Here is a 14,523-nt window from a genome sequence, read left to right on the forward strand (position 1 = left end):
TCTTGCTTCAGTCTTGGCCATGAAGATTGAGGGACAGGAGGACAGGGTCTGCAGATTGTACTTACAGTTAATACAGTTCTAACTGCTCAGCTGTGCCAGCTGACTTTTCTAATTGGTCTTTAAAAGATGAATCTTTGTTTTTTTTTTTTTTTTTCCTGAGAAGTTTCACTTTTGTTGCCCAGGCAGGAGTGCAATGGCGCAATCTCGGCTCACTACAACCTCCGCCTCCTGGGTTCAAGCGATGCTCCTCAGGCCTCAGCCTCCTGAGTAGCTGGGATTACAGGCGTGTGCCACCATGCCTGACTAATTTTTTTTTGTATTTTTAGTAGAGACAGGTTTCGCCATGTTGGCCAGGCTGGTCTCGAACTCCTGACCTCAGGTTATCCGCCTGCCTTGGCCTCCCAAATAAAAGATGACTCTTAAATGAGTAGATGGAAAAAAAAGGAAGATGGGGCTTGGAATTCTCATATGGTAGTTAAGGGCATAACATAATATTGCTCTTGAAAAAATATAACATTTATATTTTTAAATATGGGCCTTTGACTATAACCTTTTATTCAATTAAATTCAATCAATATTTATTAGGATGTACCAGGGTACTATGGGGGGTGATAAGGGGATGAATAAAATCAGCTTCTTTCTCTCTAGTTAGAGGAGATCAAACATGTTCAAGTTAGCCATACTTGGCAAGATTATATGGCCTCTTTCATACTGAAAAATACACTCACATTGTTAGATAGTATTCTTAGAAATTTCTATGGATACCCCTCCAAAATGAAAGATCTCTCATACAGGCAGTTGATTTAGGATTTAGGCAGTTGCATGAAGTATTTTACTATTGGTTTGTCGTCAACTCTGCAGAAAATTATCTAATTTCTAGGAATACTTGAAACATATTTAGCACCTCATTTTACAAACTTTATTTTATTGTCATACAATGGTGTGTAAATGTGTCCTGTGTTAAAGATGGTTGTATCGGTTATCTATTGTTGTGTAACAGATTACCCCAGATTTGGTGTCTTGTTAAAACAACACTTACTATCCACAGTTTCTGTGGGTGGCAAGTCTGAGTAAGGCTTAGCTGGGTGCCTCTTGCTAAGGGACTCTCAAAGCTCCAGTCAAGGTGTCCTCCCCAGCTGTGGCCATCTGAAAGCTCTGTAGAGGGAGGATCTATTAATACTTCAGACCCACTCACTTGCCTGTTGACAGGTCTCAGATCTCTCAGGCTGTTGGACTGAGGCCCTCAGTTCCTCTCAGGCAGTGGGTCTGGGTCTCCCTGGCTTCCTTGCTGGGCCACATGGGCCTCTCCATAGGGCAACTCAAACATGGCAACGGACTCCCCTCAGAGTGTAAGGTGTAGGAATGAGACACAAGCCATAGTCCTTTTATAACCTGATGCTGGAAGTGACATCCCATCACTTTTGCCTAATTCTGTTTGTTAGAAGTGAGGCATTATTGTCTAGCCCACACCCAAGAGCAGGAGATTATTAGGAGGTTGCATATAATCTCAGGGGACCATCTTCGAGGCCACCTATTACAGCTGGCAACAGAGCCAATCACTTCAGTGTACAGCTCATCTGATGAGGGTTGAAAGGTATTCTTCTTACTCTGTTTTACTTTTTTCCTTTTTTCCCTTTTATTAGTTGTTTATCTATTTATTTATTTTTGAGACAGAGTCTCACTCTGTCACCTGGGTCGGAGTGCAGTAGTGTGACCACGGCTCACTGCAGCCTCGACCTCCCTGGCTCAAGCGATCCTCCCACCTCAGCCTTCCAAATAGCTGGGACCACAGGCGTGCACCACTGTGCCCGGCTAATTTTTTGATACAGTCTCCTTGGATGGTTCCTCCCAAATATCTCCCCGCTCTTCAGGGCATATAACTATAGATGACATACACAGTAGACTGCAGATTGCCTAATCTTTTGAAGATTTGTTAGTCTTACAGCATGTCAACAAGCCATATCGGGTCTTTTTTACATCTAATGTCTTGATCATTGCATTTGGAGAGTTTTGCTGGAAAGGGCATTGTGTCTGGTTAGATGAGAAATCGGCAGAGAGAAATGAGGAAGGAGGATCCTGTAGCTGATATAAACAGGCTCCTTAATGCATAAGAAAATAGGCATGTTTGGGCCGGGCATGGTGGCTCACGCCTGTAATCCCAGCACTTTGGGAGGCCAAGGCGGGTGGATCACCTGAGGTCAGGAGTTCAAGACTAGCCTGGCCAACATGATGAAACCCTGTCTGTATTAAAAATACAAAAATTAGCTGGGCGTGGTGGCACATGCTTGTAGTCCCAGCTACTTGGGAGGCTGAGGCAGGAGAATCGCTTGAACCCGGGAGGTGGAGGTTGCAGTGAGCCGAGATCATGCCACTGCACTCCAGCCTGGGTGACAGAGTGAGACTCCGTCTCAAAAAAAGAAAATAGGTATGTTTCATGCACAGTGGTTGAGGAGAGGCTTTAAATCATGTTGGCATACGGCCATGGAAAGAAGACCTAAAAATCCACATGAGAGGGATTCTTGTCCCAGGTGTGTTTCTCATGAGTGTATCTACAAGAGGTGAGCATCTCCTGGCCCTCCTTCCATGTTGTGTATACGTCAGGAGAGCAGCTGGTCTGCCATCTTTTAAATTCTGTGCAAGTTAACTGTTTTGTGAGAAGACTCATTGATCTTTCTTTCTGGAAGTGTGCAGTTTGGTCTTCAGCAAAGTGCTCACAACATACATATGTAGGCATTAGAGCTTTGAGAAAAAGGTAGTATTAAACAGATTCTGGCCAATGTTTTTTTAATGCATAATGATGTTCAGTGATACTGGTTAATTTTTAATAATGGAAATTGATTTATGGGGTGGCTTCCATGTTAAACCTAGTGGGAACTTAAAGAAAAGGGGTCTGGATTCAAATTGAGGAGCATGCATCAGCAGTAAGACATACACATGGGGCATGTTGTATGTTTTTCTTTTTTTAGCCTTAAATGTAACCATGTACCACGTTTCTCCCAGTGGCTTCACGTGTGCTGTTCCTCTGCCCACAGTGTCCTGTGTTCTTCCCCATCTTCCCTCACCTCTTAACTTGGCTGCTTCCTTTTCTTTCTCAGGGTCTGAGCAGAGAGACCTTTCCTGACCACTCAATTTCAGTCATCCCCGCTTCCACCCCTTGCCCCATCAATGCCTCTTCTCGTCCTTTTGCATCAGATTTTGTTTACTATCTGGCTCTTCTACCCAGTCCACACATACATGACTATCCGCTCTAGAGGAGTAGGGGTTTTGTCTGTTTTATTCCTGGCTGTAACCCCAGTGCCTGGCATAGAGTCGGTGTTCAATAAATATTTGTTGAACTGATAAAATCACTTATGACCATTTTTCATTATATAAACCACATTTAGCTAAGGGCTTACGTTTACTGTCCATCTCCCCCACCTTGGCTGCTGTATGACTCAGAGAGGCTTGTTCCCCAGCTGTTCCTAGTGCCTAGCACAGCTCAGAATAGATGCTTGCAACACTGAAGATGAAAGAGTGAGTGAACTCTCTGACAAAGGACTAGAAGGAGTGTGAGCTGCACTTCCCAGGAAAGGAGCAGGAGACTCTGCCTGGGCGCTGTGTGTTTCTGAAGGGCAGCACCATGTCTTATCCATCCTTATCTCTGTAGCTGATACTCAGCCCAGTGCTTGGCACAGAGCAGAGAGTCAATACAAGGTAATTGGATCAGATTGAATTGAGTTTGGGAAAAGCTAGAACAAAATCTCTCCTGACAACAACACTGGATGAAGCTCAGCTTGTGAATGCTCTCTTAAAGGTGGCAGAGATGACTCCTCCTGGATTCCCTCCTGTGATTGTTTTGTCAGGATGCCTAGTAGTATGCATCTATTCATTCATTTATTCATTCTTTCTTTAAGCTCCACCTGCAAGGATGCAGAGCACAGGGCATGGAAAGCTGCACAAGTTTTCAGCCCCACCTTTAGAAAGCATGTCTTGAGGAAAAGTTAGGCTGTATTCTCTGGCTTGTACAACCTCCCCGAGGAGGCAAAAGAGTTGGACTCAGGCGGTTGTAGTTGCTTGAGTCTGTCCTTTGTGTTGGCCTCCACACCACAGTCGTTGAACAGGAGTAGAAAAAGCACCAACTGTGGTTGCAAATTGGCTTTTGCATTAATCCTGGCTTATTGAAAAACACTCAATATTTTTCCAAACTGAATTTAGGGCTTTTGACTGAAGCCTGAATCATTTACTGCAGCAGAGCATATCACTAGTCTAGGAAAAACTAGAACTTATAAATACAAAGTCCGTTTAAGTAATCCAATATAGGATAATTACATTATTAAATAAAGCTATGGGTCTCAAATTATCCCACTGCCTTTGTACATGTGAGGATAATAATGTGAACTGTGCTAAGTGAACAGAGTAAAAAAATTTAACAAGAATGGAGTGTGTCTAAATCATATGTTTATGTTTAAACAGAGGCTACAGAAAACAGGAAGATTTACTCGGTTTGTACATTAAAGTGTCCTAAATAGGCATAAGGCTGTCAGTGATTCTTGGAAGACTGCTCTTCTAATTAATGGCAACGGTATATTGAGACTCTGTGCCAGATGACCAGTAAGCTTTAATAATTCAGATTTTCATACACCAACAGGGGCCAAGGGTTTTCTTCTTCCTTTGAGGGTCTTTATGGGATAGACTCTGCTGGATGATGTACCTGGGCAGAAGGTCATGTGCCTGCAAAAGTGGATGAAAAAGGCTGGGCATAGTGGCTCATGCTTGTATCCCAGCACTCTAGGAAGCTGAGGCGGGTGGATCACTTAAAGGTCAGGAGTTTGAGACCAGCCTGGCCAACATTGTGAAACCCTGTTCCTACTGAAAATACAAAAAATGGCTGGTCATGGTGGCACATACCTGTAATCCCAGCTACTCGGGAGGCTGAGGCAGGATAATCACTTGAACCCGGGAGGCAGAGGTTGTAGTGAGCAGAGATCGCACCACTGCACTCTAGCCTGGGCGACAGAGACTCTGTCTCCAAGAAAAAAAAAATTAAATGGTCAAAAAAATCAGATGTTAAAGTAATGGTCGAGTCATTCCGGATTGGGTGGTGGTTGGGTTTGGGCTTTATTGTTACGGTTTTTGCTTTTATTGGGTGTTCTTACATATGGCTTAACTGAGCATAACACTGGAATTGGGCTCATTTATCTTCTTTGTTAATGTTTTAATGGCCAGAGCTAACTGGGTGCCAAGCTAGCTTTTATTATGGCAACCTGAAAGGAGTTAAAAAAAAAATAGACCATGGAGTTTACACCCTATTAATTTGGCCAGAGAAAAAGTAGGCAGGCTTAACTAACACTGATATAAGTAAAGCCTCTTCTTTGCATATCAAATGCTTGACTGTTTAGAGAGAAAGTATGTAGGACACTGGGATGCAATTTTCTGCTCTCTGTGTAAGTTGTCTTTTATTTTAGGGAGGAAAAAGGTACATGCATGGTAAGCCCAAGAGGAAAGAAATGGAACAGGGAATTATGAGAGGGTGTTTCTAGGACTTTCTCTGGAGATGGTCAGGGGAGCAGGCTGCAGCCGACCAGGTTTTAGATTAGTGTGTATTAAAAATGTATTTAGGAACATAAAATATTTAGGATTTTTGAATTACTTGTTTGATACGCAAATGCCGTTGGCTATAACCATGAAGGATGGTCGCGTTACATTTAACAAAGCGTGCCTCAGAGCAATCTTCTGTTTGTTTACTCCCTCCTCTTGTGCCCGGATGGATTTCCAAAATTCATCGAGCCACAGGCGTCAAAGATCTGGTGAGCAGGATGGAAAAGGTTGGAAGAGGAGGGGCTAGCTTGGGAAATTAGAACCCAATACACTAAAGAGCCTCCGTGGCAAATCATTTCATCATGTTAAGGGAGTCAAATTAAATCTTAGCACATACTTCAGAGTCTATCTTCATTGCTCTGACAACAGAAAATTCTTTACATTTTTAACTAGCACATGAGTGGTGATTTCTGCCGTCTTTCTTTGGGAACAAAAACACGATAAAAATTAAAAATTAAAATCCTTTTTGTGAAGTGACTTGAAATCCCATTCACCCCAGGGAATTGGCAGGAGGTGGGGAAAGGTGCATTTGTCCCAGGGAGGGAGTAGGTTGGGATGTGACTACTGTCAAGGTTTAAATGACCAGTTTTCCAGAAAGAAGATGATGCTACCATGCTGGTTTCTGGTTCCACTTCAGTTTTTTCATCTCTAAAATGAGTTAAGACCACCTATCTCAGAAAGTCCTTATAGGGATTAGATGGGATAATGTCTATTAAATTCGTAGACTAGTGTCTGTGTCAAGTAAAGCATCTCTGAGTTTTCTGCAGCTGTGTCCTTGAGAGCTGGGGAGGATGAGAAACCCAGGTATTTAATTTTATTATTATTATTGTTATATTTTATTTATTTATTTATTTTTTTGAGACAGAGTCTCGCTCTGTCACCAGGCTGGAGTGCAGTGGCACGATCTCAGCTCGCTGCAACCTTCTCCTCCCTGGTTCAGGTGATTCTCCTGCCTCAGCCTCCCAAGTAGCTGGGACTACAGGCGTGCACCACCACACCCAGCTAGTTTTTGGGTTTTTTTGTATTTTGTATTTTTAATAGAGATGGGGTTTCATCGTGTTGGCCAGGATGGTCTTGATCTCCTGACCTCGTGATCTGCCCGCCTCGGCCTCCCAAAGTGCTGGGATTACAGGCGTGAGCCACCGTGCCTGGCCTCAAGCCTATTATTAGGTTGGTGCAAAAGTAATTGCGGTTTTTGCCATTGAAAGTAATGGCAAAAACCACAATGACTTTTACAGCAATCTAATAATTGTCTTCTGGTCCAACCTTCCCTTGGAGATACCAGCAGGAGTTACAGGACCATTATTGTTCCTAGACAAAGAATTAAGAAGAGTTAGGAACATGCACAGTTACCCACAAGGGACATTTGAATCCCACTTGCCCTCCCTTCATTTTCTGCTCAAGAGATAATATATAATAGTAATCACCATTATTTCATGGATGCCTACTCTGTGTTGACCATTGTATTGTAACAACTACAGCATCCTAACTACCCTATGTAGTTGGTTACTTTATCCTATTTTCCCCATTTTTTTTATATGAGACCTTGACAAGTCCAAGAATAACATAGACTTGCCAGGGTCTCATCTAAAAAATGAGGAAAATAGGCTAAAATAACACAGTAGAGCTGCACTTGAACCTCAGTCCATCAGACTCAAAAGCCAGGGTTTTCTCAGCTCTCCCTTAGTTTCTTCCAACATGGTACATTCAGAGATGATGTACCATTAAAATAAGCACTTGGTGCTTTGGGCCCAACACAGGCCTTGGCTCTTTGGGAAGTACAAGAGAAGTGGAAGTTAGGCAAGGAAACCTGCCTCTAAAAAATATTTGCAATTGAGGTGTTTACTGTAGAAGACAGAATTATGCAATTCAGCATCAAATACTAGTGCCTAATAAAGATTTAACATTATGTCACAGGTAATAAGAACAGTAAGTCCCAGTTCAGGGACCAACTTAGATGAGATAGCTTTTTATTTTGCCTAATAAGGACATTCAAAAACAACTACCAGCATCTTTTGATATCATCATTTCAGAGAAAATAAAGGATATTATAATACCGCATGAAAGAAACGAGAAGGGATAAAAGTCTCCAGCGGAGAGTGTGTGGAGTCCCTCCATATCAGGGCCACTCCTTTCTTTTCTCTGCTTTCTGCCCTGGGAGGCTGACCTATGCGGGCTCCATTAACAGAGGCCCTGGGCACTGTGGTTTCCGGTGGGGTTTACTCATAGAGGTGCTGGGAGCGGGAGGAAGGGAGAAGTGTGGAGGCAGGTATTTATTCCCTGTTGCTTCCCTTCAGGCTGGTCCCTTCAGGCTGGTGGCATCCCTTTAAGGAAGAGTCATTGTGTTTGGTAGAAGGGTCTTCTCTATTCTGGTAATCACTCCCACCCCTCTGCGGCCCTTTAGCCCAGGAGTGGTGATGGCTGAGCTGCTCCAGCCCAGGTTCCTGTACTGTGTATCTCTTACGATTCCTTTACATCCCAACACCTCTGTCACTTGTTCCAGTGTAAAACCTCCCCTTGAATTATTATTACTATCATTATTATTATTGAGACAGGGTCTCAACTCTGTCACCTAGGCTGGAGTGCAGTAGCACAATCATGGCTCACCGCAGCCTCAACTTCCTGGGCTCAGGTGATCCTCCCATCTCAGCCTCCTGAGTAGCTGAGACTACAGGCACCTGCCACCATGCCTGGCTCATTTTTGTATTTTTTGTAGAGATTGGGTTTTGTACAGGCTGATCTTGAACTCCTGGGCTCAAGCAATCCACCCACCTTGGCCTCCCAAAGTGCTGGGATTACAGGCATGAGCCACCGTACCTGCCCCCCAACTTGAATTATTATTACTCAAGTATTCCATTGGTTTCCTGTTGGGATTCTGACTGATACAAGGAGAGTCCTTGAAATCTAGCAAGTTTAGCTTAATGAAGCTTGACTGCATTGTCCCCATTTTTCTCATTTCACCGCTGACCAGTGAAAGCTTCATCTTGTTTGATCCATATTACCATCCTGTCTTTTCTGACTTTCTTGGATTCCGAGTGGCAACTACTTATCTGTAGTGTGAAACCTTTTTACTCCCTCTGTAGATATCCCATTAGCAGAATACACTAATGTGTAATGGGGAGAACAGTTGGGCAAACTGGTAGGTACCTCAAATTGCAGTGTGTCTGAGGGAGGCTTGAAAGCAAGGGAGTGGCCAAACCACCCAGGCTTCGAGGTGGTACATTCTTCCCCCTACCCGTCTCCATTGGTGCACACCAGAGGCACATGCACCTGCCAGGAATGGTTCCGTCAGGACACAAGCTGAAGTGGTTGTAGTTAGTCTGTCTAAAAGTTGACTCTTAACAGAGTTCCTTCATTTTTAATTTCTATCTTAATTAAAGTTTGCCACCCTCATGCAACTAGTTGGACTAGTATTTCGGTGTCACAATTTATTTAGCTAATACCTCATATTGTTGTTTTTGTGTTCCCAACATTTATCATGTTTCAAATGCTACAAAGTACATTTTGAAAGCCTGGGATGTTCAGGGAAGACTGAGGTGAGTATGCCATGCTTTCCTGTTCTTGTTCCATCCCCTCCCTGCCAACCCGTCTGATATTACACTTGTGCATTTATTGTCCTTGGGATGCTAGGTGATTATAGCTCTCCTTACCAATGATCTGTTACTGGGTACAACACAGTATGATAAGAAAAGTTCATGTTCTTTCTCTGGAGGGATGCCATATTAGTAAGGATATAGGTTCAGCTGTGTGTAACAGAGACTCGTATATTATAGTTGCTTAGATACATTGGGAGTTCAAAATCTCTTATCATGGTACAGACGTAGATGGCTCACAGGGCTAGTGTGGTGGCTTTGCTCTGTGAGGTTGTCTAGGGACTGGGCTCCTTTTTCTCCTGAGCAATTTGCCCTCATTCTTATGGTCCAAAGCTACACTTATTCCCTTTGAGGGAATTACATCCGGGAAGGACATCACTAATACTCATATCCTGTAGTCATAATTTGGTCACGTGACTGCACCTGGCTGTAAAAGGAAGCAGAAAAAGGACGCCTTTATTCTCCACCCAGCAATTTAGCAGTTTATTATTAGAAAGGAAGAATAGATATTATGGAGAGGTTAGCCACAGTTGGGAAGTGTTAAAGTCTCCTTGTACCAGGCAAGATATTTTCTTACAAGTAAGTCAAAGGGAAGGCTGTGCAGTTCCGCTGAGCTTGAGTTGACTCTGAGGCATCCAAATTGATAACAAGGGACTAGAGTGTGGATGAATTTTTGGGACCAAACAGTACAATGTAGTCATGGGCTTTAGGGGTGAGCACTGGAATCCCCATAGAGAATGATTTCTTTAAGGAGTGATATGCAGAGAAAGAAGACCACATCCCAGATTGCATCTAAGTATATGTTTCATACATTTTCCCAGTTGGGAGATGGAATGAGGAAGAAGAGAAATTGAATAAAGCAAAGAAATGTAGAGGTGATAGATGTTGGGTAGGTGTTCTCCAAGGGTCTCTTGCATATGTACACATCTTGTGAGCAAAGCCACTGACTGTCTGTGTTCTGGACTGTCTTTTCAAAGATCTTTATATAGTGAATAGCATTGGAAGACAAAGGTAGTGTTTTTCCTTAGAACAAGAGCAGGCATGCTTACTGTCCAGTATTAAAGATACAGGTTCTCGGCCAGGTGCGGTGGCTCACACCTGTAATCCTAGCACTTTGGGAGGGCGAGGCGGGCGGATCATGAGGTCAGGAGATCGAGACCATCCTGGCTAACACGGTGAAACTCCGTCTCTACTAAAAATACAAAAAATTAGCCGGGTGTGATGGCGGGCACCTGTAGTCCCAGCTACTCGGGAGGCTGAGGCAGGAGAATGGCGTGAACCCGGGAGGCAGAGCTTGCAGTGAACCGAGATGGCACCACTGCACTCCAGCCTGGGCGACAGAGCGAGACTCCGCCTCAAAAAATAAATAAATAAATAAATAAATAAATAAGATACAGGTTCTCTATGCTCAGGACTCTTCTCCAGTAGTGCACCCCATTGTGTGAAAAGGTATCATCTATCCCTCTTCACATCTCCTTTTGGGAACTGAGTATTAAAGAACCACCACAAACGCTGGTACATTGACTATTGCTATTACTGTGAGTAATAAACCATTTTTTGTCTCTGGCCAGGAGTCTCATGGCTTCTGCCAACATCCATGAAACTGGCAGGTGAACTTGGAAGTCTGAAAAAAGGGTAAAAATCTCAGACCCTTCACAGTTCTTAACAGGAAGGAGAGTTTCAAGTCAAAATTAGGGTTGTTCATTACCAAATGCTACAAAGAAGTTAAAGAAATTGAAGAATAAGAAAACGCCTTGGGTTAGTGACATAATACCATGGCTCTCAAAGTTTCGGACTCAGGACCCTTTACACTCAACTTATTGAGGGCCCCAAGGAGCTTTTGTTTATGTAGGTTATACCTACTGATATTTACTACAGTAGGAATTAAAACTGAGAAATAATTTTAAAATATCTATTAATTCATTTAAAAATTATGACATCCACATGCACAAAAATACATCAAGCTGAACCTCATAACTTATACACAATTAAGTGAAAACAGATCATATTTCTAAAAGTAAAATGTAAACCTATAAAACTTTTAGAACAGAACATAGGAGAAACTCATTATGACCTGGGATAGGCAAAGAGTTCATAGATATAATGGCAAGCCACAATCCATAAAAGAAAAAAAATCTAACTGGACTTAATCAAAATATAAAACCTTTGCTTTGTGAAAGACACTATTACGAGAATTTTAAAACAAGCTACAAAATAGGAGAAAGTGGTTTCAAACCACATATCTGACAAAAAGTTAAAAGAACTCTCAAAACTCAAGTGTAAGAAAACAAATAACCAAATGGGCAGAAGACTTAAACACACATTTCACCAAAAAGGACATGCAGTTGGTGAGTTAGCACCTGAAGAAGATGTTTGACATCATTAGTCATTAGAGAGATGACCATTTAAAACACAATGAGAAACTACCACATACATATTAGGATAATAATTATTAATTATTAATAATCAATTAATTAACAGTGATAGTGTCAAGTACTGGCAAGGATGGGGAGCAACTGGAACTCTCATGCATTGCTGTTGGGAATGTAAAATGGTACAGCCACTCTGGAAAACAGTTGGGCAGTCTGTAGAAAAATTACATCCATACTTACCATATGACTCAGCAATCTGTCTCCAAGGTGTTTACTCTAGAGAATTGAAAATATGGGTTCACACAAAAACCTGTGCGGGCATACCTTAGAGATAATGCAGGTTTGGTTTCAGACCACTGCAAGAAAATGAATATCGCAATAAAGCTAGTCACATGACTGTTTTGGTTTCCTAGCGCGTATAAAAGTTACATTTACACCATACTGTAGTCTGCTAAATGTGCGTTAGCAATATGTCTAAAAAAAAAGTACATACCATAATTTAAAAATACCTTATTGCCAATAAATGCTGAAGATCATCTGAGTCTTCCGCAAGTTGTAATTTTTTTTGCTTGTGGAAGATCTGGGCTTGATGTTGATGGCAGCTGACTGATCAGGGTCGTGGTTGCTGAAGGTTAGGGTGACTGTGGCAATTCCTTTTTTCTTTTTCTTTTTCTTTTTCTTTTTTTTTTTTTTTGAGACAGAATCTCACTCTGTCACCCAGGCTGGAGTGCAGTGGTGCATTAATGGTTCACTGCAGCCTCGACTTCCCAGGCTCAAGTGATCCTTCCACCTCAGCCCCTGAGTAGCTGGAACTATGGGTGTGTGCCACCACACCTGGCTAATTTTTGTTGCTGTTGAGATGCAGTTTCGCCATGTTGCCCAGGCTGGTCTCAAAATCACAATTTCTTAAAATGCCATGCATTGGTTGACACTTCATTTCACGAAAGATTACTCTGTAGTATGCAGTGCTGCTTGATTGGATTTTACCCACAGGTAGAATTTCTTTCAAAATTGGAGTCAACCCTCTCAAACCCTGCCACTGCCTTTATCAACTAACTTGACGTAATATTCTGAACTTTTTGTGGTCATTTCAGCAATGTTCACAAATCCCAGCACTTCGGGAGGATGAGGAAAGAGGATTGCTTGAGGCTAGGAGTTTGAGAGCAACCTAAGCAACACAGTGAAACTCCTCTCTAAAAATAAATTTAAAAATTTAGCCAGGCCTGTAGTCCCACCTATTCGGGAGGCTGAAGTGAGAAGATAGCTTGAGGCCAGGAGTTCAGGCCATATGGTGCCAATGCACTCCAACCTGGCCAACAGAGCCAGACCCAACTCAAAAGAACAAAAACAAAACAAAACAAAAAAACATTGTTGACAGCATCTTCACCAACAGTAGATTTTATGTCAAGAAACCCCTTTCTTTACTCATTCATAAGAAGTAGCTCCTCTTCATCTGTTCAAGTTTAGTCATGAGATTGCAGCAATTCATTCACATCTTTGGGCTCCACTTCTAATTCTAGTTATCTTATTGTTTCCACCACCTCTGCAGTTACTTCTTCCACTGAAGTCTTAAATTCCTGAAAGTCGTCACCTATGAGGGTTGAATCAATGCCTTCCAAACTTCTGTTAATATTGATGTTTTGACCCACTTTCATGAATCTGAATGTACTTAATGGCATCTAGAATAGTGAATGCTTTCTAGAAGGTTTTCCGTTTACTTTGCCTAGATCTATCAGAGGAATCACTGTGGCAGCTATAGCTTCATAAAGTATATTTCTTATATAATGATACTCGTAAGTCAAAGTTACTCCTTGATCCATGGACTGCAGAATAGATGTTGTGTTAGCAGGCATAAAAACAACATTCATCTCTTTGTACATCTCCATCAGAACCTTGGATGTCAATAAGCAGTCATATTTGTAAAGAAATCTCTTATTCTGAGCAATAGGTCTCAACAGCAGGCTTAAAATTTTCAGTAAACCCTGCTGTAAACAGATGTGCTCTCAATCCAGCTTCATTTTTTCATTTATAGAGCACAGAGAGCATAGATTTAGCATAATCCTGAAAGGCCCTAGGATTTTCAGAATGGTAAATGAGCATTGGCTTCAACTTAAAATCACCAGCTGCATTAGCCCCTAACAGAAGAATCAGCCTGTCCTCTGAAGCTTTGAAGCTGGCATTGACATCTCACTATCTATGAAAGTCCTAGATGGTCTTTTTTGCCCAATATAAGGCTGTTTCATCTTCTATTGAAAATCTGTTGTTTAGTGTAGCTACCTTCAATTATCTTAGCTAGATCTTCTGGTAAACTTGCTGCAATTTCTACATCAGCATTTCCTGCTTTACCGTGTACTTGAAAGTTACAGAGGCAGCTTCTTTCCTTAAACCTCATGAATCAACCTCTGTTAGCTTCCAACCTTTATTTTGCAGCTTCCTCACCACTTTTAGCTTTCGTAGAATTGAAGAGAGTTAGGGCCCTGCTCTGGATTAGGCTTTGGTTTAAGGGAATATTGTGGCCTGTTTGATCTTTCTACCCAGACCACTAAAACTTTCTCCATATCAGCAGTAAGTCTGTTTTGCCTTCTTATCATTTGTATGCTCACTGGAGTAGTGCTTTGAATTTCCTTTAAGAGCTTTTCCTTTGCATTCACAACATGGTTAACTGGCGCAAGAGGCCTAGCTTTCAGCCTCTCTTGGGTTTTGACATGCCTTCCTCACTAAGCTTAATTATTTCTAGCTTTTGATTTAAAGGGAGAGGCATGGGACTCCTACTTTCACTTGAACACTTAGAGGCCATTGTAGGGTTATTAATTAGCCCATTATTGTTAAGTCTTATGGAATAGGTAGGCAGGAGGAGAGGGAGATAGACTGGGGAAAAAGGCAGGTCAGTGGAGCAGTCAGAACACAAAACAGTTGTCAGTGAAGTTTGCCACCTTATATCTGCATGGTTTGTGGCATCTCCAAACAATTACAATAGTAAT

The 14,523-nt window shown here is 42.1% G+C and overlaps 1 protein-coding gene across 1 annotated transcript in view, besides 1 other annotated feature; it reads left to right on the top strand.

Annotated features, from left to right (window-relative positions):
• ARID5B (AT-rich interaction domain 5B) overlaps positions 1–14,523 on the top strand; it is a 195,246-nt gene that overhangs the window by 18,494 nt on the left and 162,229 nt on the right. The gene's annotated exons all lie outside the window — the stretch shown is intronic.
• Positions 1,084–1,263: an enhancer, noted in NCBI's record as "active region_3399". NCBI's record gives its function as "activates an Ori minimal core promoter by ATAC-STARR-seq in GM12878 lymphoblastoid cells {active_cell/tissue: GM12878}" and the evidence as "EXISTENCE:reporter gene assay evidence [ECO:0000049][PMID:35858748]".

Source organism: Homo sapiens, chromosome 10 (assembly GCF_000001405.40).
Source record: "Homo sapiens chromosome 10, GRCh38.p14 Primary Assembly".
Taxonomy (NCBI): domain Eukaryota; kingdom Metazoa; phylum Chordata; class Mammalia; order Primates; family Hominidae; genus Homo; species Homo sapiens.